General features: G+C 37.2%; 1 pseudogene, besides 1 other annotated feature; it reads right to left on the bottom strand.

The window, feature by feature from the left end:
• Positions 3,131 to 3,779, bottom strand: LOC100420647 (voltage dependent anion channel 3 pseudogene; annotated as a pseudogene).
• Positions 14,149 to 14,697: an enhancer, noted in NCBI's record as "OCT4-NANOG hESC enhancer chr7:80809759-80810307 (GRCh37/hg19 assembly coordinates)". NCBI's record gives its function as "activates a minimal SCP1, AML or CMV promoter by ChIP-STARR-seq in primed H9 embryonic stem cells {active_cell/tissue: H9 hESC(primed)}" and the evidence as "EXISTENCE:reporter gene assay evidence [ECO:0000049][PMID:30033119]".

Below are 25,564 nucleotides of genomic sequence, written 5' to 3'. Positions count from 1 at the left end.
TCTGTGGCCGAAGGCCTGAGAGCCCCAGGCAAACCAAGAGTCCAAAGCTCAAGGAACCTGGTGTCTGATGTTCAAGAGCAGGAAGTATCCAGCATGGGAGAAAGATGAAAGCCGGAAGACTCAGAAAGCCAGCTTATCCCACCTTCTTCCACCCGTTTTGTTCTAGCCACACTGGCAGCCAATTGGATGGTGCGCACCCACACTGAAGGTGGGTGTTCGTCTACCAGTCTATTGACGCCAGTGTTAATCTCCTCTGGCAACACCCTCACAGACACACCCAGAAACAATACTTTGCATCCTTCAGTCCAATCAAGTTGACACAATATTAACTATCACATAAACTAAATGTTTTTCAAGTTCATGTTACTTCAGTAAACTTCGATAAATAAGAATATTGTTAGTTAATTAAAATGGTCATGCCTTCAGAGTTGTCAGAATTATACAGAAGGCAAACACACGATTTCTCTCTCCATTAGACGTTTAAAATCCTAAGATAATGGGTTCAACCTAAGAACAAATGCACAAGTGCAGTGTCCATCGATGTATGTATATAAAGCACGACAATAAAACAAAACCCCAATTATTCAACTTTCTACATTCTTACTTTTGTGATCCTTGCCTAACATGCAGATACTGTAAAAATAATTGACAGGGAAATACCTTGAGATGATGACCTTTGTCTAATATCCTATTTAAGATTTTTAAGTAATCTAAGCATAATTGTGAAGAACAAGTTAATTAAATAAATGTAAGTGGAATAAAAGTTTGTAAATGAACTTTTTAACAATAGAAAACGAAAAATAAGCAAAATGATTTTAGAAACTTTCGACAAAATAGAGACGTATATGGAAAAAATTAACCACTACTTTGAAACACGCATTCCATGTTTCCTGAGGCTACCATTAAAAATTCCCACAAATTTAGTGACTTAAAACAACAGAAATTTATTCTTTCACAGTTCTGGAGGCTAGAGGTATGAAATTAAGCAAGGCCATGCTCCTTCCAAGACTCTAAGGGTGAATTCATGTCTTCCATCCTAACCTTTGTACTATTGTTGCCATACATTTTACATTTTCCTGTGTTATAAACCCTACACTCCATTATTTGTCCTTCATCTATTTTATTTCAAAAATATTTAAATATTAAGAAAACAGTCAATTTCATTTTTCTAGGTAATTACCAGCATTTTCCATTGCTTTGTGTGGATCCAGATTTTCATCTAGTATCATTTTCCTTCTGTCCCCCAAAAATGATTTTGACATTTCTTTTTTCTGGTAATGAATTATTTTACCTTTGATGTCCATTTTTCTTTTTAATTTTGTCTTAATTTTTGAAATGAGTCTAGAATTCTAAGTTGGCAAATATTTCTCTTTCAGCACATTAAAAATATTGTTCCACTGTTTGCTGGTTTGCAATGATTCCAACAGGATATCTGGTGCAATCCTAATTTTTGGTCCTTGGCATGTGGGGTATGTGAGTGTGTGTGTGTGTGTGTGTGTGTGTGTGTGTGTGTGTGTGTATTATTTTCCTCTGTTGCTTGCAAGTTTTTCTCTTCATCACTGGTATTAAGCAATTTCATTACTATGTGACTTGGTATAGATCTTCATGTTTATCGTGACTGGGATTCGTTGAGCATCCTAGATCTGTGGGTTTATAACATTTATTAAAATTGGAAATAAATGTTTTTATAAGTATTCTTACATTTTTTCTGCCTTCCCCCCTCTCTTCTCTGCTTTGGGAATGTTAATTACATGTATGTTGGGGTGCTTCAAATTGTTGCTATTCACCAATCCACTGTTTTTGTTCGTTTTTTTGTTTTTTTTTTTTAATTCACTTTTCTTTCCGGGTTTCATTTGGGATAGTTTCTACTGCTGTGCCTTCAAGTTCACTAAACTTTTTCTATGTATGTCTAATATGTCCCAATATTCCATTAAGCAGGTCCAGTGTATTGTTTATTTCAGACATTGTAATTTTACCTCTAGAAATTGAATTTAGGTCTTTCATGTATCATATGTATCTATTTAACAGGTTCAACATATCTTCTAGATTCTTGAATGCATAGAATACAATTATAACTGTCATTATATCCTTCTATGCTTACTCTTTCATCTGTTCCATTTAATGGATCAGTTTCAAATAATCGATTTTTCTACTCATTATAGATTGTATTTCCCTAGTTTCTTGAATCCTAATAATTTTTGTATTGGATACTAAACATTGGAAATTGTACATTGTTAGGTGTTAATTTGTTAGTGTTGCTCTGCACTATGGTTATATTACATTAAAACAGTTTTATCTTTTTGGGTTTTGTTTTTATTTTATATTTTTTCATTAGAAATGCAACAGTGTTTAGCATGCAGCTAATTCTCCCTACTCCTGAGGCAAAATTCTCTGGGTGCTTATCCTATGCCCCATGGGTTTGATGAAGTTTTGATCTCTAGCTGCTTGAAACAGAAATACTTCCAGCCCTGTGAAATTCCCAGAGATCATTCCCTTTAATCACATCAAGCAGTCCATTTGTTGGCTTTAGCTAAGTTTCTTCACACATATAGACTGATCAGTATCATTTTATTATTTATTTATTTATGTATTTATTTATGGTATTTAGTTATTTCAGGCTACAGGCAATTTTGGTACCTGTTGCTACATCTTGGCCAGAATAAGACATGTCTGAATTATATTTTTATGGGCAACTGTGACCCAAATGTGATGTATTTATTTTATTTTGGTACAAAATTAAATTCAAATATAGTAACTTAAATTCAACTATAGTACAAACAACAATATATTTAAAGATCATGAAAACTGAAGTACATGAAGTACAAAGTGGCAAATTGGGTCATTTCCTTTACAACATGATTCTATACTGTCATTTGAACACATATAAAATAACACTGAGGAACTGAAGTGAAACATGTCACAAATATTACAGTTGCCATGTGTGCTTTCAAGTGTGTCTTCTAGAATTGACTTGCCATCCCAAGACTTCATTACGGGGAGAACTATAGTTATTTTACAGACTAAAAACTTTTCCCATTTGAAATACTACAGAATTTTAAGGCCAATATACTGTGGGTTCATTTCTCTTAACCTGCAGGGTCGAATGCAATGCTTTACTCAAAATCCATTAAGCTTCCAGTTCAAATCTTAACCCGACCTTATAACCTTCTGCATGGAAGTTTTTCCCATCAGTTTAAGCTGACAGGATCACTTTGACTCCTGATGGAAAGGTTTCAGTATACCCGTGTGCATTCAGACTGGCATGAGTTACTCTACCAAATGCAGAAGATCTATAATCCAGCTTGTATACTGTAGTAAAGCAAAATCGGGTGTTGTCACTACCAGCTCTCCAAACAAGATTTTTTGGAGTTTCAATTTTCTCATTAACCTTCTTGCATACAAAACTTTCAAGTTCAGTGCCATCATTCACATGAGATTACAGCTAGAGGTGTGCAGCTTTGTGAACCAGGGTGAAATGATTCTCTGATAGTTTGGATTTGCTTGTGTCAGAAATCATCTGACAGCCATCAAGGCAAAGTTCGAAGGCCAGCAGAGCCCAACCATAAAGCGTTGGTCTAGAAAAATCTCCAGCAGTAGTACTGCCAAGTAATACTGCCAAGACTTACTTATTCACATGTAGAGGAAGCCTTCAATTTTCCGCATTTAGAACAAATATCATTTCAAAAGTCACTTGCAGTTGGCATTTCAGTCAATTGTTTTTCCAAAGCTATTTCTGTCCCATGAACATTATCTTTGTTTCATTTTTGGATAAAGGTAACTTTATTCTGTCAATGACAGGTTAGCTATTTGGCAGCTTTTAGCTGGATCATACTTGGTGAGAAGAAGCCCATATTATTGGACTGTACATAGAACCCATTCCTGCCTCTGACTTTGGAGTCATTGCACAGGGTTGGCTGAGACTGGCACACACCAGACAGATGAGTCATATTTCTTACTTGTTGATGAATACCTCTTTTGCTGACAGTCCTCTCTAGTGTGTGCTGATATGAGACACAAAGATCCACAGACTTTCTGCTGACCTACATAAGTCTATCTTTATGCCTCTTCCTGAAACCACTTTGGCTCTGATTTTCCATCTTGTTATTTGCAGGCTCCAGTTAGACCTGCCAGTTGATTAAATACTGCTTAGGAGTCTGTATACACATTTATGTCAGGTTAATTCCCTTTTCATACAAAGTTGATGAGCATATGTGCCGTTTCTTACCAACTGATGGCACTTCACTTAGCTTTGTCCTTTGGAGACGATCAGCACTGTCTTCGAGGGACCCCCATGTGTGGAGCTGTAGTGCTGCAGCAGTCCAACATATTAGGCTGATTCATGCAATAACCAGACCTGAGAATTTTCCCGTTTTGAAGCTGATTAAAGGGACCCATCCCCAAAAGGTCATTGCTATAAGTTGAGTGAGAGGCAAAAAATGCAGCAAAGGTAGGTGATTTGAGGCAGTGAGCTATCGATTCACATACTTATACCCTCTGGACCAGCAAGCTTGGACCTAATTTCAAGTCTACTATTTCCATCATAAAATGGATTTGTACTCCTCATAACTTGGTAGATAGGATAATACCCAGATAATGATGCAGTGCTCTGTTTTCATGGTTACTTGACCTCAGACAGAGCTCAATAGCATACAAGTAGCTAATTTTCAAATGGTGAGTAGTTCTTTGGGACAGAAAGCCTATTCTCCCTCTAGATTCTAGGGATCCATACTGATATTTCGTATAACATTATGCTGGTGATTTCTTGTAGAATTCCTACTTACCTATCTTTAGCTATCAAGGATATCTTTGATTTTGTTAGGATTTCCAAGTGGGAGGGAAGGTTACTCTGCAGGCTGGACCTGCCCCAGAGCCCTTTCTTCCTCAGAGTTTCATTCAAAATAGGTAGTCTTCACAGTCATATAATGAATAGGTCAGAGAGCCACTTTCAATTATAGAATATACTTCCCTAAAATCCAAAGAGGTCCAAAAAGCACTGTGCCTCTTTCTTAGTGGTAGAAGATTCAAGATCCAATAACTTTCATTTACTTGGCATGCTCCAGATCATTTTATCCCTAAAAAAAACTCAAGTTGATATGGCAGGCCCTAGATTGCTATAGGGTTTATCTCTACAACAGTCTGCCATTATCTTGTCAGCATACTCACAGTACTTGGAATTTCTTGTCTACCATGTCAAATTAGCCTAATGTCATCAATATAGTTGGTCAGCATGATTTTCTGCAAAACATAAATAGTAAAGTTTTCTAGACTATATAGTGACAAAGAGAAGGACAATTAACATAGCTTTTAGACATAGACAACAATGTGACTGTTGATCTTTCCATATAAGTGTAAACTATTTCTGATCATTTTTACTGATTTATTAGATCAAATGTCACACACCAAGGGTAAAATGCTATGTTAATATAATCCAGAGAAGATGTTACATAAGGCACAGCAACTGCAGTTGGGGCTAACACTTTATGAAGTTTAGGGTAATCCATTATCCTCTTTCACATCCGTTTGACTTCTCTTGCCATGAAATAGAAGGAATGTACATTGATACAATGAGGAAAACCATCCCTGTTAATTCTTTGAGGGTTGTGCCAAACTCTGTAATTCCTCCTGGCATGTAGTTTTGCTTCCGATTTACTATCTTGAGTGGGAACAAGGGGGAGGGATATTTTACGGGCTTCCAGTTGAATATTTTTACTATCATAGTAGCTCTTACTCCACAAACTAGAGATGCAATGTGGGAGTTTTGCCTGTTGCTCAGTATAATCCCCCCAATTATATACTTTGGGGTTGGAAAAACGATCACAGGATGGGTCCACCATCCCACTGAAACCACTATGAAATAAACTTGGGACCCAACTCCATTTATCATCTGGCCTTTATAGTTCTCTAACTGAGGAGGCATGGTGATATGTCAGGTCCACAGGTAGTGTCAGCTCAAACTGTGTAGGCCACAACCCTCAAAAGATCTGGGTGTCTACATCACAAGATATCTTTAGGTCCTTTAGAGGAAGGTTTGGATAATGTTGTACGTGATTGCAGTGAGACTGTCAGAGCCCTTCTTCAGAGAAAGCCACACTCCTTTTAGAACAATAGGTCCTGAGTTTGTCACTTGGCTCAAATCTAGAAATTCGGCAAGAGATTATGATTTTTTCATCTTGGTGGTAGAAAGCCTTTTATTTTTAAAGAATTTTTTTTGGTTACAAAAGTTTTTTAGTTTTAATATTTTTTAAATCTGGTTATACAAGTCAAACAATATCTTAGTTAGGAGCCTATCTTTCTCACCACTGGAAATAATATAATATATTAGCCATCATACAGAGCTTTGCAAATTAAAACACCAAGACTGCCACCTCTTTCTTGCTATAATGGTAATTGCACCTACTTTGTGTCTGATGGGTAAGTATCATCACTTGCTTTTGCCTATTATGGGAACATATCAGGTCTATTGATAATAAGTCTAATTCCAGGGTAGTTTCTCTTACCTTCAATCCTATACTATACACGACAACTACATTGAGCCTGTCAATTATGCCGATACCCCCTCACTAGTGCATCCATTTCTAATTGCCTAAGGGAAAGAAATAACTTCTGGGCCACGTAGGGAACATAGTTAATTCCCAGGACCTAGGAAACATAGACAATTTCTGGTCTCACATAATAAGTTCATTAGGTACTGGGCCCAGTTTTTTTAACTCAAATTTTTATCTCAAAAAAACAGGTTACTTTTTTGTTTGCTTTTAACAGATGGGCCCAACTTTTGCCCAATTTTCTCACGTGCCCAATTTTTGGAGCGTTTAGCCACTTACCTTCATACTTTGCCAAGGCAGTCCCAGTATCTGCACCTTATTTTCACCAGTCCTTCACTATTGTCAGAATTTCAAAGTGATTCCGGTATAATAGTGGATCTCAAACTTTAACATACATTTGAGTCACTTAGAAGCCTTCTTAAATAGCAGATTCTGGGCCCCATCCCTCAAATTTCTATTTCATATGTCTAGGGAAGTGAAAAGAATGTGTGTTTCTAGCAAGTTCCCAGGTGGTTCTAATGCTGCTGGTCCAGGGACTACACTTGGAGAAGCATTGTTGTAATCAGTGCTGATTCTTCCATCTCTGTCTCATTCCAGTGTAATACATCTGGGAGTCTCAGGAAATGTGATGTTGAAGCATATTAACAATTGTCACCACCCTACTTACCAAGTATGTTTTCCTTATTGAAATCTGACTCGGCAGTGACCCAATTCCAGAATCCCAACATGAAGGGCTGCTTTCCAGACTCTGTGTAACAAGCTGTCCTGGTTTGGCTTCACTGTGAAAGCCAAACCAGAGGTAAGGACCTAGGAATATATAGTGAATAGGAAAGGCAATCTCAGAAAATAAAAGTGAGATTATGGGAAAAGTAAGACAGGGAAGTGTTAACTGGCAGTAACTACCATGTTATCAAGTTGGTTACTACTGTAAATAACTCAGAGACTATCCCTCTGGTGATATCCCATTAAGGTATCATGCAGGGCATGTCTTAGAATTATCCACCAAAGGATGAGGAAGCTGTGCACCTATGTCCTTATGCTCATCTCATTATTTGAAGGGTTTTTAGGGGACATCAAATTCTGCACTCCATTATTGTACAAGCTTATGGCTGAATGACTTTTTGTGTATAGAGTAGCTAGATACTGGACACTGGCAAATATGTGTGAAACTGTTAAGTGGTCTAAGGAAGTGGTGCCTCACAAGTGCCCACTATAGCACATTACTTAGATATATGGATATGAAGACCAGATGAAACAGTTAAAAGAGTTGAAGTTACAGTAATTGGATTTGGAGAATAGTACTCTTGGAGGTGGGCAATGAAATGCAAGTGGAGGCATTAATGGACTGGAGTATTTTACCTTATGCTTTAGAGAGAAATTTGACTTTTACAATTATGCATATTCATTATTTTAAGTAAAAGGTAAAGTTCACGGGGTTGACAAATGCATTAACTATGGATTGAAAAATTAGTTTGGCATTCCTGAACTAAAAAGTTAAGCTATTTCAACATCTATTTCTTAATTCTTCTTCTGATATACTTTGTTTTGTCCAACTTTTCTCCTATTGCTTTAGCTGAGACATAATAATCTAGAAAAGAGACAGGTTATTTTTTCATTTCTTTTTAACAGATGGCCCTGGATTGATTTGCCAAAGATCCACCCAGGAATCCTGACTCATTAAAGAAGGGTGGAGATTTTCTGAGCTAAGCGAGAGACCTTTCCTCAGAGGTCATTTTCTCTTCGACTTCTTCTGAGGCAACTCCTGCAGCCAGCCCCCAAAGACAGAATCAGATAATAGGAATTCAAAAACCTAACTTAACTGTGAGCCATGTTACAAGGTTCAAGACCTTCAGCAACAGCCAGTTTTACTAAGTTACTAATAGTCAAGGAGGTAAAAAATGTTTTTCTGTTTTGTCTTTTATTGATGACTAAATGAGAATTATCGATACCTCATTATGAAGTTTCTTTCTTTTCAGAAGTAAAGTGCATATTTAGTCTTTTGGATTTTTAGTAGTTGGCAAAAATTTAAGTGCTGAACACTGAAGTAATTTACCATGTTATCATATTGCTCTGTAATACTATAATACATCCTTTTCTGTGTGTAGCTGAGACTATATATTTCCTGAAAATAGATACTCCAGCTCTTTCATCTCTGTGCTACATTTTCTAGCCACAGAATGCTGGGAATTATAACATTTAATATTTTTACACAAATAATAATGTTAATGGATGGCCATAAATGAATGTCAGAAACCCCAAATTCTTGTCCTCATTTTAATACAGAATTCCAAATCTGCATTTTCACAAAGTCCATTCTTGGTAAAAGGTGCCCTAAGTGTATTTACTATTATGACTTTTATTGTGAGAGTTTCAAACAGCAGTGCAGTTGGGGATAGGAAGGGAAGAAACTTATCTGAGGCCAGGTAGAACTGCTTCACTCCTCACAAATCACACTGCAACACTTGTACTCTAGCTTACCCCAACTGATGATCACCACTTTCTAGCAGAATCGCATATATGTAGTTATATTCTTACACATGCTCTGTCCCATCAATCCCAACTTAGTCCCTTCAATAAAAGGCACTACAGTAGTTGTTTTGCTAAACATCTGCTATATAAATATATATTTATTAAACTTTCAAATTGGCAAGAAATTTAAAAACCATTAAATCTAACCACTTACCTTTTTGAATTAAATAAACATAACCCACTCAGAAAAATAAAATAAATCTCTCAAGTAAACAGGGGCAGAATTGGCACTTCAAATGGATCCCCTGATTTTTAGTGCCAATCTCATTATAGCCCATGGATATATTTTTTTCCTGGACTTAAGTGAAATGCATTTTCTCTGTTGATAAACTTGAAATCAAAGCAGAATAAATGATTTGTGGATTATATTATCCCATTTATATTGTACACATAAAATGTCAATTCTGGCTGATGAAAAAAGAAGCCAACATACTAGTAAGTTAATAACAGATAACTTCCAAAGAGCAATAAGCAATAATTGTATTCAAGAAATGAAAATGAAATGATAAATAACTACTTTTCATTAGAATAAAGACAGCAATTTTCCTATTATATTTAAAACATCAAAAAATAAAAAAATTATAAATTTTTAAAAATGTGTTAAATCCATGATTAGGTGAAATCTGGTTTCAATAGCAATAGCAATAACAATATTTCTGCAACAATTAAGAGCTGGCAGTCCATACATTCAAGAATACTCCCTCAGCTAGTGTTTAAAGGCCTCAGAGTAATTTTGTTAGAATATATGTTTTTTTTTCAGGTAAGCAACCAGATTCAAAGGTGTGAGGTGGTTTAACCACAACAAGTAATTGGTAAAAGAGAAGTGGGAACTGAAAGAAAAGTTTGCTGACTACAAAAGTTTTTGTTTGTATGTTTGCCTTTTCATTATTATTTTCACTGAACTGCTTCCTAACAATTAAATTATATTGTGTTGCATAAGTATGTCATAGTTTGAAAAAAATCAAGAGAAAAAACAATCAAAATTTTCAAATTACTAAAAATGTCTCAATTTTTCAATAATGTTGCACATTTTAAAATATTCAAGTAGTCATAACATCTGCAAAATATGATAGTTTTTTAATAACTTTTATTTTAAGTTCAGGGCTACCTGTGAAACTTTGTTACATAGGTAAACTCGAGTCACAGGGGTTTGTTGTACAGATTATTTCATTACCCAGATATTAAACCCAGTGCCTAATAGTTATTTTTTTCCGCTCCTCTCCCTCCTCCCACCTTCCACCCTCAAGTAGTACCCAGTGTCTGTTGTTTCCTTCTTTGTGTTCATAAGTTCTTATTATTTAGCTCCCACTTGTGAGAACGTGGTATTTTTGTTTCCTGTTCCTGAGTTAGTTTGCTAAGGATAATAGCCTCCAGCTCCAACCATATTCCCACAAAAGACGTAATCTTGTTTTTTTTATGGCTGCATAATATTCTGTGGTGCATATGTACCACATTTTCTTTGTCCATTCTGTCACTGATGGGCATTTAGGTTGGTTCTGTGTCTTTGCTATTGTGAATAAGGCTGCAATGAACATTCATGTGTATGTGTCTTTATGACAGAATGATTTATATTCCTATGGGTATAAACTCAATAATGGGATTGCTAGGTTGGTTGGTAGTTCTGTTTTTAGCTCTTTGAGGAATCGCAATACTGCTTTCCACGATGGTTAAATTAATTTATGCTCCCACCAACAGTGTATCAGTGTTCCCTTTTATTTGTATCCTTGCTAGTATCTGTTATTTTTTGATTTTTTAATAATAGCCATTCTGACTGATGTGAGATGGTATCTCATTGTGGTTTTAATTTGCATTTCTGTAATGATCAGTGAGGTTGAGCTTTTTTTCATATGCTTGTTGGCTGCATGTATGTCTTCTTTTGAAACATGTCTGTTTTAAAAAGTAATGTAATATAAAAAGGTATTTAGAAATGCTAAATAATCCTACCACATTTGTTCATTTATTTTCAGCTCGGATGATATCCTTTTTCTTTCCCAAAGTTCATGGTGTTATGTATATATATGTTTGACTATTTTAAAATGAAATTTATAACAGTAAATAGCTAGCTTGTAATATATGATTTTGCCACAGTACTGTGATTATTCAGTGAATGATGTAGAATATATGCTTTTTTTAACCTTTGGAAGATAATTACAGCTCTCATTGATAACCTACTCAAAAGCCTCTTAGTGACTTAAAATAATCGTAGACAGTAAGTAAAGTACACGGGAGGTGATCACTAGCAAGGTAAGAATTTGTTTTATATGTGCCATTAACGTACCAGCAATTAGACATGTTCTGACAGGTATCTGTATATGAATAAGGAAAGAGTCTTGTTGCACAGAATAAAAATTAATACCCACCAACTAAAGAAAAAAGAATATAGTGGATGGATATCAAATAGCTCACAGAATTCACAAAAACACTTGGCAATCAATTTTAGCAAACAGATTAGCACCAAAGGAGGCTAGACGAAAGGGAGAACAGCCAAGCCCTGGTACAGGAATAGTCTAATTAACATACTATCAGTAGCAGCAGAGGTGACATTGATGCCACTGTGTACTCCCTAACATTGGTAAGCTCACAAGGCCACCATCACTGTTGAGCACTCAATGCAATGAAAGGTTTTGCAACTACTTCTACATCTCAGTATGAAATGCTTATGATCCAAAGTCTCTGGTGAGGATCTTATTGACCAAGTCTAGGGCACATGCTCGAACCTTAGTTTGTCATACATGGGAAGAAGTTGTGTCTGTCTCCTTTGGCTTACTTATTTGGATAAGGAACATTTCCTCTCCCCCAGACGCACACTGGGGGATAGTCTCTCCAAAACAGAATGAATCCTCAGATGCCTGATGTAAACAAAAAGACAAATGCTTTCAAAGAGTCTCCATATTAAGAATTATAGCTGAAACTTTATCAATCTCTATCAAAATAGAAACTGTTTTTCCTATTTCCTATTGGAAGATTCAGGAGCTCTTATCTTGGTATATGCCGTTGAGCTACCTTTATTTGCCCAAATGCTGAGTAAGAAAATATAAAGTCATGGGTTTTAACTAAAAATAAAACTAGTTTTACTAAGCCTGATATAGAACATAGAAGTATATTTTACACTTTTATTACATAGAAAAATGTTAAGAAGAATATTGTCAGTATTTTAGCCTATTAAACACTATATCTGTATATATTTAAGAAGCAGCAATGAAGTTAGTTATGTAACACATATATATTTAATCCTTCTATATATCATTTCTAACATATTCATAATGTATATGTAGTATTCTGAAATTTCAAAGTGAGTTTGTACTCATTATTTTTATTCTGGAAGCAAACTGAGAGTCAAGACTAACTGGATTTCCTAGGCCTACTAAGAATCCCTAAGCCTAGCTGGGAAGGTGACCACATCCACCTTAAAACACAGGGCTTGCAACTTAGCTCACACCCAACCAATCAGGTAGTAAAGAGAGCTCACTAAAATGCTAATTAGGCAAAAACAGGAGGTAAAGAAATAGCCAATCAACTATCGCCTGAGAGCACAAGGGGAGGGACAATGATCGGGATATAAACCCAGGCATTCGAGCTGACAACGGCAACCCCCTTTGGGCCCCCTCCCATTTTATGGGAGCTCTGTTTTCACTCTATTAAATCTTGCAACTGCACACTCTTCTGGTCCGTGTTTGTTATGGCTGGAACTGAGCTTTTGCTCACTGTCCACCACTGCTGTTTGCCGCTGTCGCAGACCTGCTGCTGACTTTACCCCTCCGGATCTGGCAGGGTGTCCGCTGCACTTCTGATCCAGCAAGGCGGCGCCCATTGCCACTCCCAATTGGGCTAGAGGCACGCCATTGTTCCTGCACTGGCTAAGTGCCCAGGGTTCATCGTAATTGAGCTGAATAGAGCTATAACACTTACCACATGGCCCAAGATTCCATTCCTTGGAATCTGTGAGACCAAGAACCCCAGGTCAGAGAACAAGAGGCTTGCCGCCATCTTGGAAGTGGCCTGCTACCATCTTGGGAGCTCTAAGAACAAGAACCCCCTGGTAACAAAACCAGTGAGGAAACTGAGATTCAAGGACAGGGCACAGATTGTTAACATCAGAGCTTAGGCAAGGAAGCTTTTATTCGATTATTCAGCATGCTTTGCTAGATGTTGTAGAAGCAGAGACACATCAGATGCAATCCTATTGTATCAGGCTGTTCTTCCGTAGCTATAAAGAAATACCTGAGACTAGGTAATTTAATTGGCCTCATCTCCAGGCCTCATCTCCAGCATTGGGGATTACAATTCAGCATGAGATTTGGGCAGGGACAAATATCCAAACTATATCATTCCACCCTGGCCTATCCCAAATCTCATGTTCTTCTCACATTGTAAAATACAATCATGCCTTTCCAACAGTCACTCAAAGTCTTAACTCATTCCAACATTAACAAAAATTCCAAAGTCCAAAGCCTCATCTGAGACAAGGCAAGTCCCTTCCACCTATCAGCCCATGAAATCAAAAACAAGTTATTTACTTCCAAGATACAATGGAGGCATAGGCAAATGGTAAACATTGCCATCCCAAAAAATATCTGCCAAAAGAAAGGGGCTACAGGACCCATGCAAGTTTAAAACCCAGTAGGGCAGTCATTAAATCTTAAAGCTCCAAAATAATCTCCTTTGACTCTATGTCCCACATCCATGGCACATGGCTGCAAGGAGTGGTATCCCAAGGCCCTGAGCAACTCCATCCCTGTGGCTTTGCAGGGTTCACCCCCCAGTGCTGCTCTCATGGGTTGGAATTGAATTCCTGTGGCTTTTCCAGGCACAGAGTTCAAGCTGACAGTGGATCTACCATTCTGGCCACAGAAGGAGGACAATGGCCCCCTTCTCTCAGTTCCACTAGGCAGTGCCCCATTGGGAACTGACTCTGTGTGGGAGGCTCCAAACCCACATTTCCCCTTGGCAGTGCCCTAGTAGAAGTTTTCTGAGAGGGCTCTGCCCCTGCAAAAGTCTTCTGCCTGGGCACCCAGGCTTTCTCATACGTCCTGTGAAATTTAGGTGGCAACTGTCAACTATACTTCACTCTTGCATTCTGTGCACCTACAGGATTAACATAAGGTAGAAGCCAAGGTTTACAGCTTGCATTCTCTAAAGTGGTAGTTCAAACTGTACCTGAGCCCCTTTTTAAACCTGACTGGAGCTGGAGTGGCCGGGATGTGAAAAGCAGTATCCCAAGGGTGCGTAGGGCATCAGGGCCTTGGGCCTGGTCCACAAAATCATTCAGTCCTCTTAGACCTCAGGGCCTGTGATGGGAGGAGCTGCCATAAAGGTCTCTGAAATGCCTTTGGGGCCCTTCTCCCATTGTCTTGGATATTAGCACTTGGCTTGCTTTTAGTTATGCAAATATCTCTAGCAAGTGGTTGCTCCACAGCCTGCTTGAATTCCTCTACTGAAAAAGCTTTTTCTTCCTTTACTACATGCTTGGCTGCCTTTTTTTCAAACTTTTATGCTTTGCTTCCATTTTAAATAGAAGTTCCAACATTAAGTAATGTTTTTGCTCCAACATCTGAGTATAGGTGTTTGGAAGCTGCCAGACCAACTCTTGAATGCTTTGCTGCTTAAAAATTTCTTCTTCAGATACACTTAATCATCACTCTGAAGTTCAAACTTCCACATATCCCTAGGGCAGGGGCACAATGCAACCAAGTTCTTAGCTAAGATATAACATGCATGACCTTTGCTCCAGTTCCCAATAAGTTCTACATTTCCATCTGAGACTTTGTCAGCCTGGACTTCATTGTCCATATCACTATCAGTATTTTGGTCCCAACCATCTAAACAGACTCTAAGAAGTTCCAGACTTTTCCTCATCTTCCTGTCTTCTGAGTCCTTCAAACTCTTCAAAATTCTGCCTGTTACCTAGTTCCAAAGCTGCTTCCACATCATCAGGTATGTTATAGCAATGCCCTTTTCTTGGTACCAATTTTCTGTATCAGTGTGTTCTTGCATTGCCATAAAGAAATACCTGAGATTGGATAATTTATAAGAAAGGAGGTTTAATTGGCTCATAATTCCGCAGGCTCTACTGGAAGCATGGTGCTGGCATGTGCCTTTGGGGAGGAATCAGGAAGCTTCCAATCATAGCGGGAGGTGTAGGGCTAGCAGACCATCTCACATGGCAGGAGCAAGAGAAAGAGAGAGTAGGAGGAGATATACCACACACTTTTAAATGAATAGATCTCAAGAAAACTCACTCACTATTGCAAAGACAGCACCAACCCATGAGGCATCTGTCCCCATGAACAAAACAACTCACTACCAGGCCTCATCTCCATCATTGGGAATTACAATTCAACATGAGATTTGGGCAGGGAAAAATATCCAAACTATGTGACCTATCTATTTTACCCAAGCTGTCTATACCTTCATATCCTAAGGCTCCTAAGTAGAGGATTCTTTGAGTTTCTCAGGGAATTCCAGGAGTTCAAAATGGGAAATCAGAAAAATCATCAATGTGGCCCTATTTCAGCTATTCCTGGAACTAAGAAGCCTCATTCTTCTATAAGCCACTGCCCCAGTTCCAGGGAGAATTAGGTTCTGTCCTTCCCATGAAGTGATTTCCTTTATCATTCCTCATTCTCTGCCCCTTCATCTGTTCTTATTGAGCTGCAAGTATGTGGATTTATTAAAGACTATGACTCTGTAGATGTTTTGGGTGCTATGGACATTTTTACAATCCCTATCAAAATGCCAATGACATTCATCATGGAAATAGTAAAAACTACGTGATTGCCTTTTAGACCAATATCCCTGATGAATATCGACGTGAAAATCCTCAATAAAATACTGGCAAACCGAATCCAGCAGCACATCAAAAAGCTTATCCACTATGATCAAGTCAGCTTCATCCCTGGGATGCAAGGCTGGTTCAACATACACAAATTGATAAACGTAATCCATCACATAAACAGGACCAATGACAAAAACCATATGATTATCTCAATAGATGCAGAAAAGGCCTCCGATATAATTCAACAGCCCTTCATGCTAAAAATGCTCAATAAACTAGGTATTGATGGGACGTATCTCAAAATAATAAGAGCTATTTATGACAAACCCACAGCCAATGTCATACTGAATGGGCAAAAACTGAAAGCATTCCCTTTGAAAACAAGCAAAAGACAAGGATGCCCTCTCTCACCACTCCTATTCAACATAGTGTTGGAAGTTCTGGCCAGGGCAATCAGGCAGGAAAAAGAAATAAAGGGTATTCAGTTAGGAAAAGAGGAGGTCAAATTGTCTCTGTTCACAGATGATATGATTGTGTATTTAGAAAACCCCATCATCTCAGCCCAAAATCTCCTTAAGCTGATAAACAACTTCAGCAAAGTCTCAGGATACAAAATCAATATGCAAAAATCACAAGCATTCCCATACACCAATAACAGACAAAAATAGAGCAAAATCATGAGTGAACTCCCATTCACAGTTGCTTCCAAGAGAATAAAATACCTAGGAATCCAACTTACAGGGGATGTGGAGGATCTCTTCAAGGAGAACTACAAACCACTACTCAACGAAATAAAAGAGGACATAAACAAATGGAAGAATATTCCATGCTCATGGGTAGGAAGAATCAATATCATGAAAATGGCCATACTGCCCAGGGTAATTTATAGATTCAATGCCATCCCCATCAAGCTAACAATGACGTTCTTCACAGAATTGGAAAAAAAAACTACTTTAAAGTTCATATGGAACCAAAAAAGAGCCCGCATTGCCAAGACAATCCTAAGCCAAAAGAACAAAGCTGGAGACATCACGCTACCTGACTTCAAACTATACTACAAGGCTACAGTAACCAAAACAGCATGGTGGTGGTACCAAAACAGAGATATAGACCAATGGAACAGAACAGAGGCCTCAGAAATAATGCCACACATCTACAACCATCTGATCTTTGACAAATCTGACAAAAATAAAAACTGGGGAAAGGATTCCCTATTTAATAAATGGTGCTGGGAAAACTGGCTAACCATATGTAGAAAGCTGAAACTGGATCCCTTCCTTACACATTATACAAAAATTATTTCAAGATAATCGAAGACCTAAAACCATAAAAACCCTAGAAGAAAACCTAGGCAATACCATTCAGCACATAGTGATGGGCAAGGACTTCCTGACTAAAACACCAAAAGCAATGGCAACAAAAGCCAAAATAGACAAATGGGATTTAATTAAACTAAAGAGCTTCTGCACGGCAAAATAAACTACCATCAGAGTGATCAGGCAACCTACAGAATGGGAGAAAATTTTTGCAATCTACCCATCAGACAAAAGTCTAATATCCAGAGTCTACAAACAACACAAACAAATTTACAAGAAAAAAACAAACAACCCCATCAAACAGTGCCAAAGGATATTAACAGACACTTCTCAAAAGAAGACATCTATGCAGCCAACAGACACATGAAAAAGTGCTCATCATCACTCGTCATCAGAGAAATGCAAATCAAAACCACAATAAGATATCATCTCACCCCAGTTAGAATGGCGATCATTAAAAAGTCAGGAAACAACAGATGCTGGAGAGGATGTGGAGAAATAGGAACACTTTTACACTGTTGGTGGGAGTGTAAATTGGGTCAACCATTGTGGAAGACAGTGTGGTGATTCCTCAAGGATCTAGAACTAGAATTACCATTTGACCCAGTCATCCCATTACTGGGTATATACCCAGAGGATTATAAATCATGCTACTACAAAGAGACATGCACACGTGTGTTTACTGTGGCACTATTCACAACAGCAAAGACTTGGAACCAACCCAAATGTCCATCAATGATAGACTGGATTAAGAAAATGTGGCACATATACACCATGGAATACTATGCAGCCATAAAAAAGGATGAGTTCATGTCCTTTGCAGGGACATGGATGAAGCTGGAAACCATCATTCTCAGCAAACTATCACAAGGACAGAAAACCAAACACCACATGTTCTCACTCATAGGTGGGAACTGAACAATGAGATCACTTGGACACAGGGTGGTGAACATCACACACCAGGGCCTGTTGGGGGTGAGGGACTGGGTGAGGGATAGCATTAGGAGAAATACCTAATGTAAATGATGAGTTGATGGGTGCAGCAAACCAACATGGCACATGTATACGTATGTATCAAACCTGCACGTTTTGCAAAGTATAATAAAAAAAATTAAAAATAATTAAAAAATATGTGATTGCCATGGAAGTTCTTTTTTTTTTAATTTTCCTAATCTCTCTAATTTGACTGATCAAAGAACAGCTTTAGAAGTTAAATTTTCAGCCATATCACGAAGTTAGGTGGCCTTGAAAACCTCTTGTTGGTCATCACTAGTCTAGATGGGAACATAATTACATTCCTGCTGTGAGATTGAGAAACTGGTTTGCGACAAACACTATGGGTTGACTGAATGCAATATTCTTAACCCAGTTTAATGCTTGTTTATCAAATTCTCCTGCAGCTAGTAATGACCATGTGATCTATTCACCAATCAGACATCAAGCAGAATATGGCTGGAGAGGTGTGGAAAAATAGTGATTTTTCTAAGGATAAAGAATGTATGGCATATACAAGGAAGAGAAACTTTAATCTTCCTTTGAAGTTTGAAACAAACTAATCTCTCAAACTAATTATTATTTAGCTAAAATTGATACCATAATCTTTTCTGTAAGAAAACAAATAAGCCTTAGGGATGAGGAATGACGAGTACAATTTAAGTAGAGGCAGAGTCAGTGAGCCAACATCATAGCAAATCACATAAACACCTTGTACTGATACTGTTATTGTTACTATTCAATTCAGTCAGGAATCTAGAGCTACTGTAAGGATCAAAACCATTAAGGAATTTGAAAGTTCTTTGAGAACCATAAACCTCCAAATAGAAGGCATCATGTTGCTGTTACATTTTGTTCTAATGACCCTTAACCTTTCACACTTCAGCACTTAAATCTGCTTTCACTTCCGAGATTTTTCTGAGTCCACATTGACAACTGTGGATTTTCCACTTGCTCTGACAGTAAAGGGCATATCAGTAGCTCTGTCTACCCACCTGTATCTGGACCATATCTTGGCAAAACTGTTAAGTGGGCAGGGTTTGCTATGGAGAACGCCCACTCATCTGAGGTCCTGTGTTTTATTTCCTGGTAAGTCATTCGCTGGAAATTTTAAAAAGATCATCTAGTAAGAGCTTAAGCTGTGAACTTTTCAGAAGCAGCATTTAGGACACAACAAATGATGGTTGACTGATCAGCAGTCAGGCAATAACTCTGAAGACTCAACACCTAAGCAACCACCCATGATGTATCTATTCCCACAGCCAGTTCTGCCTGTTGGACAACATTGTGAGGCTTGCTTTTGATCCCAGTCATTGAAAATTCCTATTCAACAGAAGATTTCCCACTGTTTACATTTCCCTTAAGGAGGAAGCAGTCTGTGGACTCCTGACATTTAAATTTACCATTAAAATGAGGTTTTTCTTTTTCCCATCCTTGCTGCCAATTATTTCATAGTGGCAGATTTGGAACATTTGCCAGCCCCACAAGGCGTGTAAATGGGTTCTCCATGGAGACGAAATTCTTCATTGTTGCCATTCCAAAAATGTATGCTTTGAAAAGAATGTGCTGTGTTCTGTAAATATCTCTCCTACTGATACAAGTTTATATCTTTGCTACTGGAGTTTGAACACCTTTCTTTTTTTGTCAATGCAAACCCACATAAAGTGACCTCCCACGGTATAAGTGTCTACATATGACACGCCTGGTTACAGACACAGCTGAATTGACTTTTTTTTTTTTTTGGCCTTTAATGATACATCAACAGCTGATCTCCTAAAGGGATGGGCAAACCCAGCCATATTTTAAGCCAGATAACTTTTCAAAAAATTTGTCAAGCATTTTAGCAAGTATTTACATTTCTATTTTTTAAACTCTTGTGTATTTGAAGAAAAAATTTAATCCACAAGTTTCTAAATAACTTGTCTGTAACGCAACAAAATATTTTATAAGAACAACCATCATCCAAAATAGCACATTTTGTTCTTTGCATTAGTGGGTTTATAAAAGAAATTTATATATTATCTTACAAAAATTGATTAGAGACTCAAATTATCTTTAGTTCAGTAGAGTTCTAAATTGAAAATAACACATTGAAATGAATGAAATAAGCCTTTTATTCTGAGGGGAGGGAAGTGATACCATGATACATCTATATTGAATCTAAACTTTCTTTTTTTCACTTATTGGTTTAATGAAAGTGACATTTCTGCTATGTTATTTACTTTCTGCAGTGCTATGGTAGTTACATAATTTCAGAGAAAACTATTCACATTATCATCTACAGAAATTGCACTGGAGTTGTATACTGCATAACCTAAGACATCCTGAAGTCTATACCCAGGACAACCAAACAACTCCAATTCTAATTCAGTGTAAAATAGTAATGAATTTTATTTCAGACTAAATTTGCTTTTCTAATAAATAGTACTATAATTAAATACACTAACAAATAAATGAATAACAAATTATGACAGATATTACAAAAGATTTGGGGCTATTTCAAATTAATGTTTTTTTAAAAATTCAGTACCAAAGACAGTGTAGATTTTTTTACTCTTAGGCTCTTGGGAAGGATGTAAAGAAAACGAGTAACAGAAGGATTATTGACCTCATGCAGGAACTCTTTTCATTTCAGGCAAATAAGGAGTTTTACCTTATTGTTCTAAAGTGTGCTGAAAGAGAAGTCAAGAAATTCCACAGAAAATCCTTTTAGTCATAGACTGAACTTTAACCACCGAACTGTTTTTCATTGTTCTCTAAGAGAGGGAGAAACAGAATGTTGAGTAAATTCTAATTGCATCAGGAGAGCCTTCTTTTTCTTGGTGTTTGTTTTCTTTGGCTGGTAATGCACAGCTTCTTGTGGAAAATAAATCCCTTGGTAGTGTTTGTCTTTCTTGTAGGTGTGTGGGACTAGTATTTGGCTCAAAAGCAAGTTCAAACCAAATCAAGAGTTCCACCGTGTGTGATGAACCCAGGCAGCCTTCACCTTGAACATAAAGAATGTGGTCCATCCGTTCAACTGGCCTTTTCAGGATTTCACTAGCGGTGCATGCAGAAATCCATCACAAAGGAATGCAGCACTTCATTTGACATGGATTCTTGCCCAGAAACTTAGTAAAACCTCAGTCCAGCCATTTACTCAGGAGCGTGTTTGATAAGATACGGGTATTAGTAAATATGAAAGGAAGCTAGGGAAGTTAAGCCTACCCGGAACTGCTTAACCGACTTTCCCTCAGTGTATACCTTCCCTGTAAATCACATTACATTGCTTCAAGTATTAAAAGTAAAATTAGCAACCACTAGAACTAATCTTGAACACAAATAATGGTATGTAGACTAACAATGAAAATAGGAGACATGTGAAAGTAAATGAAACTCCAGGGTTTCTCTGGTTTTAAAAATGTATATTTCCAGATTCACAAAACATATCCTCATATGGAGACAAAAGCTCCAACGTGGCAGTGAAACAATGAAAATATTTTAAGTGCATGATAAATTGGAAATATAAAGAAGGGAACATTTGGAATACCACGAATCCACATATGGGATTTCATGTGTGATTACACATAGGTATGAAAATGGGAAAAGAGACAGAGCCAAACTATTTTAAGATGACCTAGCCATGATGTGCAAAAAATAAGCTTAATAATATAATAATAAAAGTTGTATGTAATACTTTCCTTTCATTCAGTAAATATTATTTTATATAGGAAGTTCATTTTATAATACATGTCAAGCCATAGGGGTGAGATAGGAAGGAGGCACATTTATGGCCTTCATTATTAAGCCATATGAGGGATAAGTTTAGAAAACAAAACAACCTGGGCAAGATATAAATTGGCTATAGGTAGGTCATAGATATTTATGTTTCTTGTTAAAATATATATGATACAAGGAATTCATAGGTTTCATCCTCTGGCTTAAGATTGTGATTACCTATTCATGTGGGAAAAGTTCTTCTTAATGTATAGGAAAAAAGGTTCTGATACATAGAATATCCTTTGTTCCATTTTTGAATTGATAGTGCAATTGGTTAGGAAATAACACACAGGAAGACTAGAGAACCTAGGTATTTTACAAAGTTTTAAAGAGAGAGCTCTTGGTCTTCTTGGGAGGGTCTCAAGGATCTGCTTTTCATTGTTGTGTTGTTTGTTCATGTAATGTGTGCTGCTTGCCTTGGTTTGAGCATGTTTCTATAGCAAAGCAGAATTCCAATGGGATTGGGTGAAAGAAGAACCCCTAAGTTATGGCTGGTTTTCCCAGAACCAGTTTCTTTTTTTTTTTTTTTTTTTTTTTTTTTTTTTTTTTTTTTGAGACGGAGTCTCGCTCTGTCGCCCAGGCCGGACTGCGGACTGCAGTGGCGCAATCTCGGCTCACTGCAAGCTCCGCTTCCCGGGTTCACGCCATTCTCCTGCCTCAGCCTCCCCAGTAGCTGGGACTACAGGCGCCCGCCACCGCGCCCGGCTAATTTTTTGTATTTTTAGTAGAGACGGGGTTTCACCTTGTTAGCCAGGATGGTCTCGATCTCCTGACCTCATGATCCACCCGCCTCGGCCTCCCAAAGTGCTGGGATTACAGGCGTGAGCCACCGCGCCCGGCCGCCAGTTTCTTAAATAGCCTCTAAAATCTTCATCTTTTTCCAAATAAACATTATTAGTAATCTCTTTAAGAGTAACCCCCATCACCTCATATTACTCTCACATACTGAGCTTTTAATGTACATCAAGAAGATTAAGCACACACCTCAGGTATTAAAATGTGTTTCCTCTGCAATCTCATTTTAGATCAAATATCAATATGGTTATCTCACGTTGTAGAATATTACTGAACTAGATTCTATGTTGGTTGAGCTCTAACTTAAGTTTAGATACAGCTCAAGCCCTACAAAGAAGAACATTTAAATGTATCGCTGTAGCTTGTTTCTGTAGCATTTAAAGTTTCTGGCATCATGGAAATGATTTTGGAGACATTCTGAGTGCCTCTGTTGATTTTACCAGACTTGTGACCTTAAGCAAATGGCTTAATCTCTCTTCCTCACTTTTCATTTTGCAATGAGAATATGAATACTAACCATTTATATAATTATAACCAATGTTATGAGGCTAAAGCATGAGAAGAGTGACAGGCACAGACAAGCATTTAAGTAAGAAGTTGTTTGCTATGGTCTATTTAATGTATTACAGTTTGAGCAAGAACAGTGTTCAGATTTGTGCACATTAATTATAATATTAAAGCTGACATCGTTGAGAATATACAACATGGCACATGTATACATATGTAACTAACCTGCCCGTTGTGCACATGTACCCTAAAACTTAAAGTATAATAAAAAAAAAAAGTTGTTCTGATGAACAACTTTACAACAGGTGTAAATATACTGTAGAAGACCCTGAAATTGTATATGTTTTCAAGTTTTGAATAAACAACCTAACTAAAGGAAAAAATAGTAAATCAAACCTAGGTTCTCTAATTTGTAAATTTCTGTCTATGGCACTGGGAATTATCTCTGTTTAAGATATAGGGATTATCTCTGTTGTGGGTGACCCAGACCTCACTACCAGTGCCCTGCCCTACAGACTAAGCTTAAGTATAATAGGGCAGGTGCATAAGGACCAAGGAAACTCTGATGTAGAGAAAACTGGTAATTGGAGCAAGGTGCAAATAGGGCAGGCAGTACTTACTGTCCAGCCTTCTGTAGCCACAACTATCTGATAACTTGTGACTTATAAAAATGATGCATTTTATGGTACTTTAGGAAACCCCTGAAGTTCATCTATTTGTAGTAGCAAAACATCTTAAACTACAAGCTGTTTTGGTTGCTAGATAAGTATATTAAAAATACTCTGGTGGAAAACATAATGTGTTAAATAGATTTGAATTTGAATCTTATTTCTACTCTTTATTCTCTGTTACCTTGGAAAAGTGGCTTAAACTCCGTTTTCTCCTCTGGGAAAAGGGATCCTAATATTAACTCATTGAGTTTTGTGAAGGTTGAATGGGGTGATTTTTTATATAAGCATTTAAAAAGGGATTCGGTACATAGTATATATTCAATGTCTGTTTGTCATTGCTATTGTTAACCTATGAAAACTGCTAATTTGCTTATGCCCTTTACATTTGCTTTCTTGTAACTTGTAGTAGTGATTTCTGAATTCATTCCTTTGGTTAATTGAAAATAGTCTCTGGATTTGGCCTTTAAACATGAGAAGTAAGAGCTGAGAGATAGCCTTCAACTTTGGAGTCCAGTACAGCCTTAGGCCTGATTTCTCATTACTACTGCCTCAACAGTACAGAAATAGTTCCTCTGTCACCACTCAACCTTTGTAGCGGCAAAGACATAAGTTAGGCTTGGAGACTTAAATAGCTGAGAATTGGAGTTCTTTATTGACAGTTCCTCCTTTTCTATGAACGAGCAGTGTCTTTTTATCCCTGAAGGAACACAACAGATTATAGTGATCTGGTGATGATCATAAGCATATCAACAAGCTGTGTGAATCTGTAGCTCACTAAGAGTCACTTTTGAAGAATTTGCTTCTCTTTCCATCTGTTTATTTACATTTCTTTCTCTATAATTTGTCTCCATCCATTTCATTACATTCCCTGCCTCTTGACCTCTACTAACTATCCACAATATGGAATCGCAATAGATTTTAAAACTATTTATCAAACAGTTTTTTGATCTTTTTCTTAAATTCTAACAATTAGTTGAGTTTAATACATTTTAGGTGACTTATGTGAGAGTAGTCTTTTCCTTCCTTCCTTTCGGGTCAGAGCTTTGAGAGAAAAACATTCCCCAAATCTAGAACATAAGGTTTAAAATAAATTCCCATTGATGATGATAAGTATTTCTTTGTCTTTATTTTTCTGTGAAAATATGTATTTATTTTAAGTACAAGGCTTTCCATATTTTCACAGTGTGATTCAGAATGAAAAAATTTGTACTATTTTATCATTTTTCTACCACACCTTCATGTTTCAAGATCATTTTCAAAGCAAAATATTCTAGCTAAAATAAAGAATCAGAGGTCTTCCAAGCAAAGGGGACTGCAGAGAATCATCTGTGATAGAGCCTACCCTTCAAGTAGGTAAACGTTATTATCTCCATATTAAAAATGAGATGCTTGAAAAGCAAAGTTTAGTCTATTGACTTCTGAGCAATATTCAAAAATAAAGCTACTTATTCTGTTACTCCATTATCTTGTGGTATCTTGATATACCTGCCTTCAGTCTGAAATACTCACTTTTAATCTAATGGTTTGGTAAATAAAATATTAGCTCCAATAGAACCCTATTGAGTGATGGTCTTCCAAAGGATATGTCCGTCCACAACTTGTGAATGTGAACTTATTTGGCAAAAAGGTTCTTGGCGGACTCAATTAGGTTAAGAATCTTGAGATGAGATCATCTGG

Source organism: Homo sapiens, chromosome 7, assembly GCF_000001405.40.
Source record: "Homo sapiens chromosome 7, GRCh38.p14 Primary Assembly".
NCBI classification, from domain to species: Eukaryota; Metazoa; Chordata; class Mammalia; order Primates; family Hominidae; genus Homo; species Homo sapiens.
Note: the sequence above shows the minus strand (reverse complement) of the source record. Positions and strands in the feature narration are given on the sequence as shown.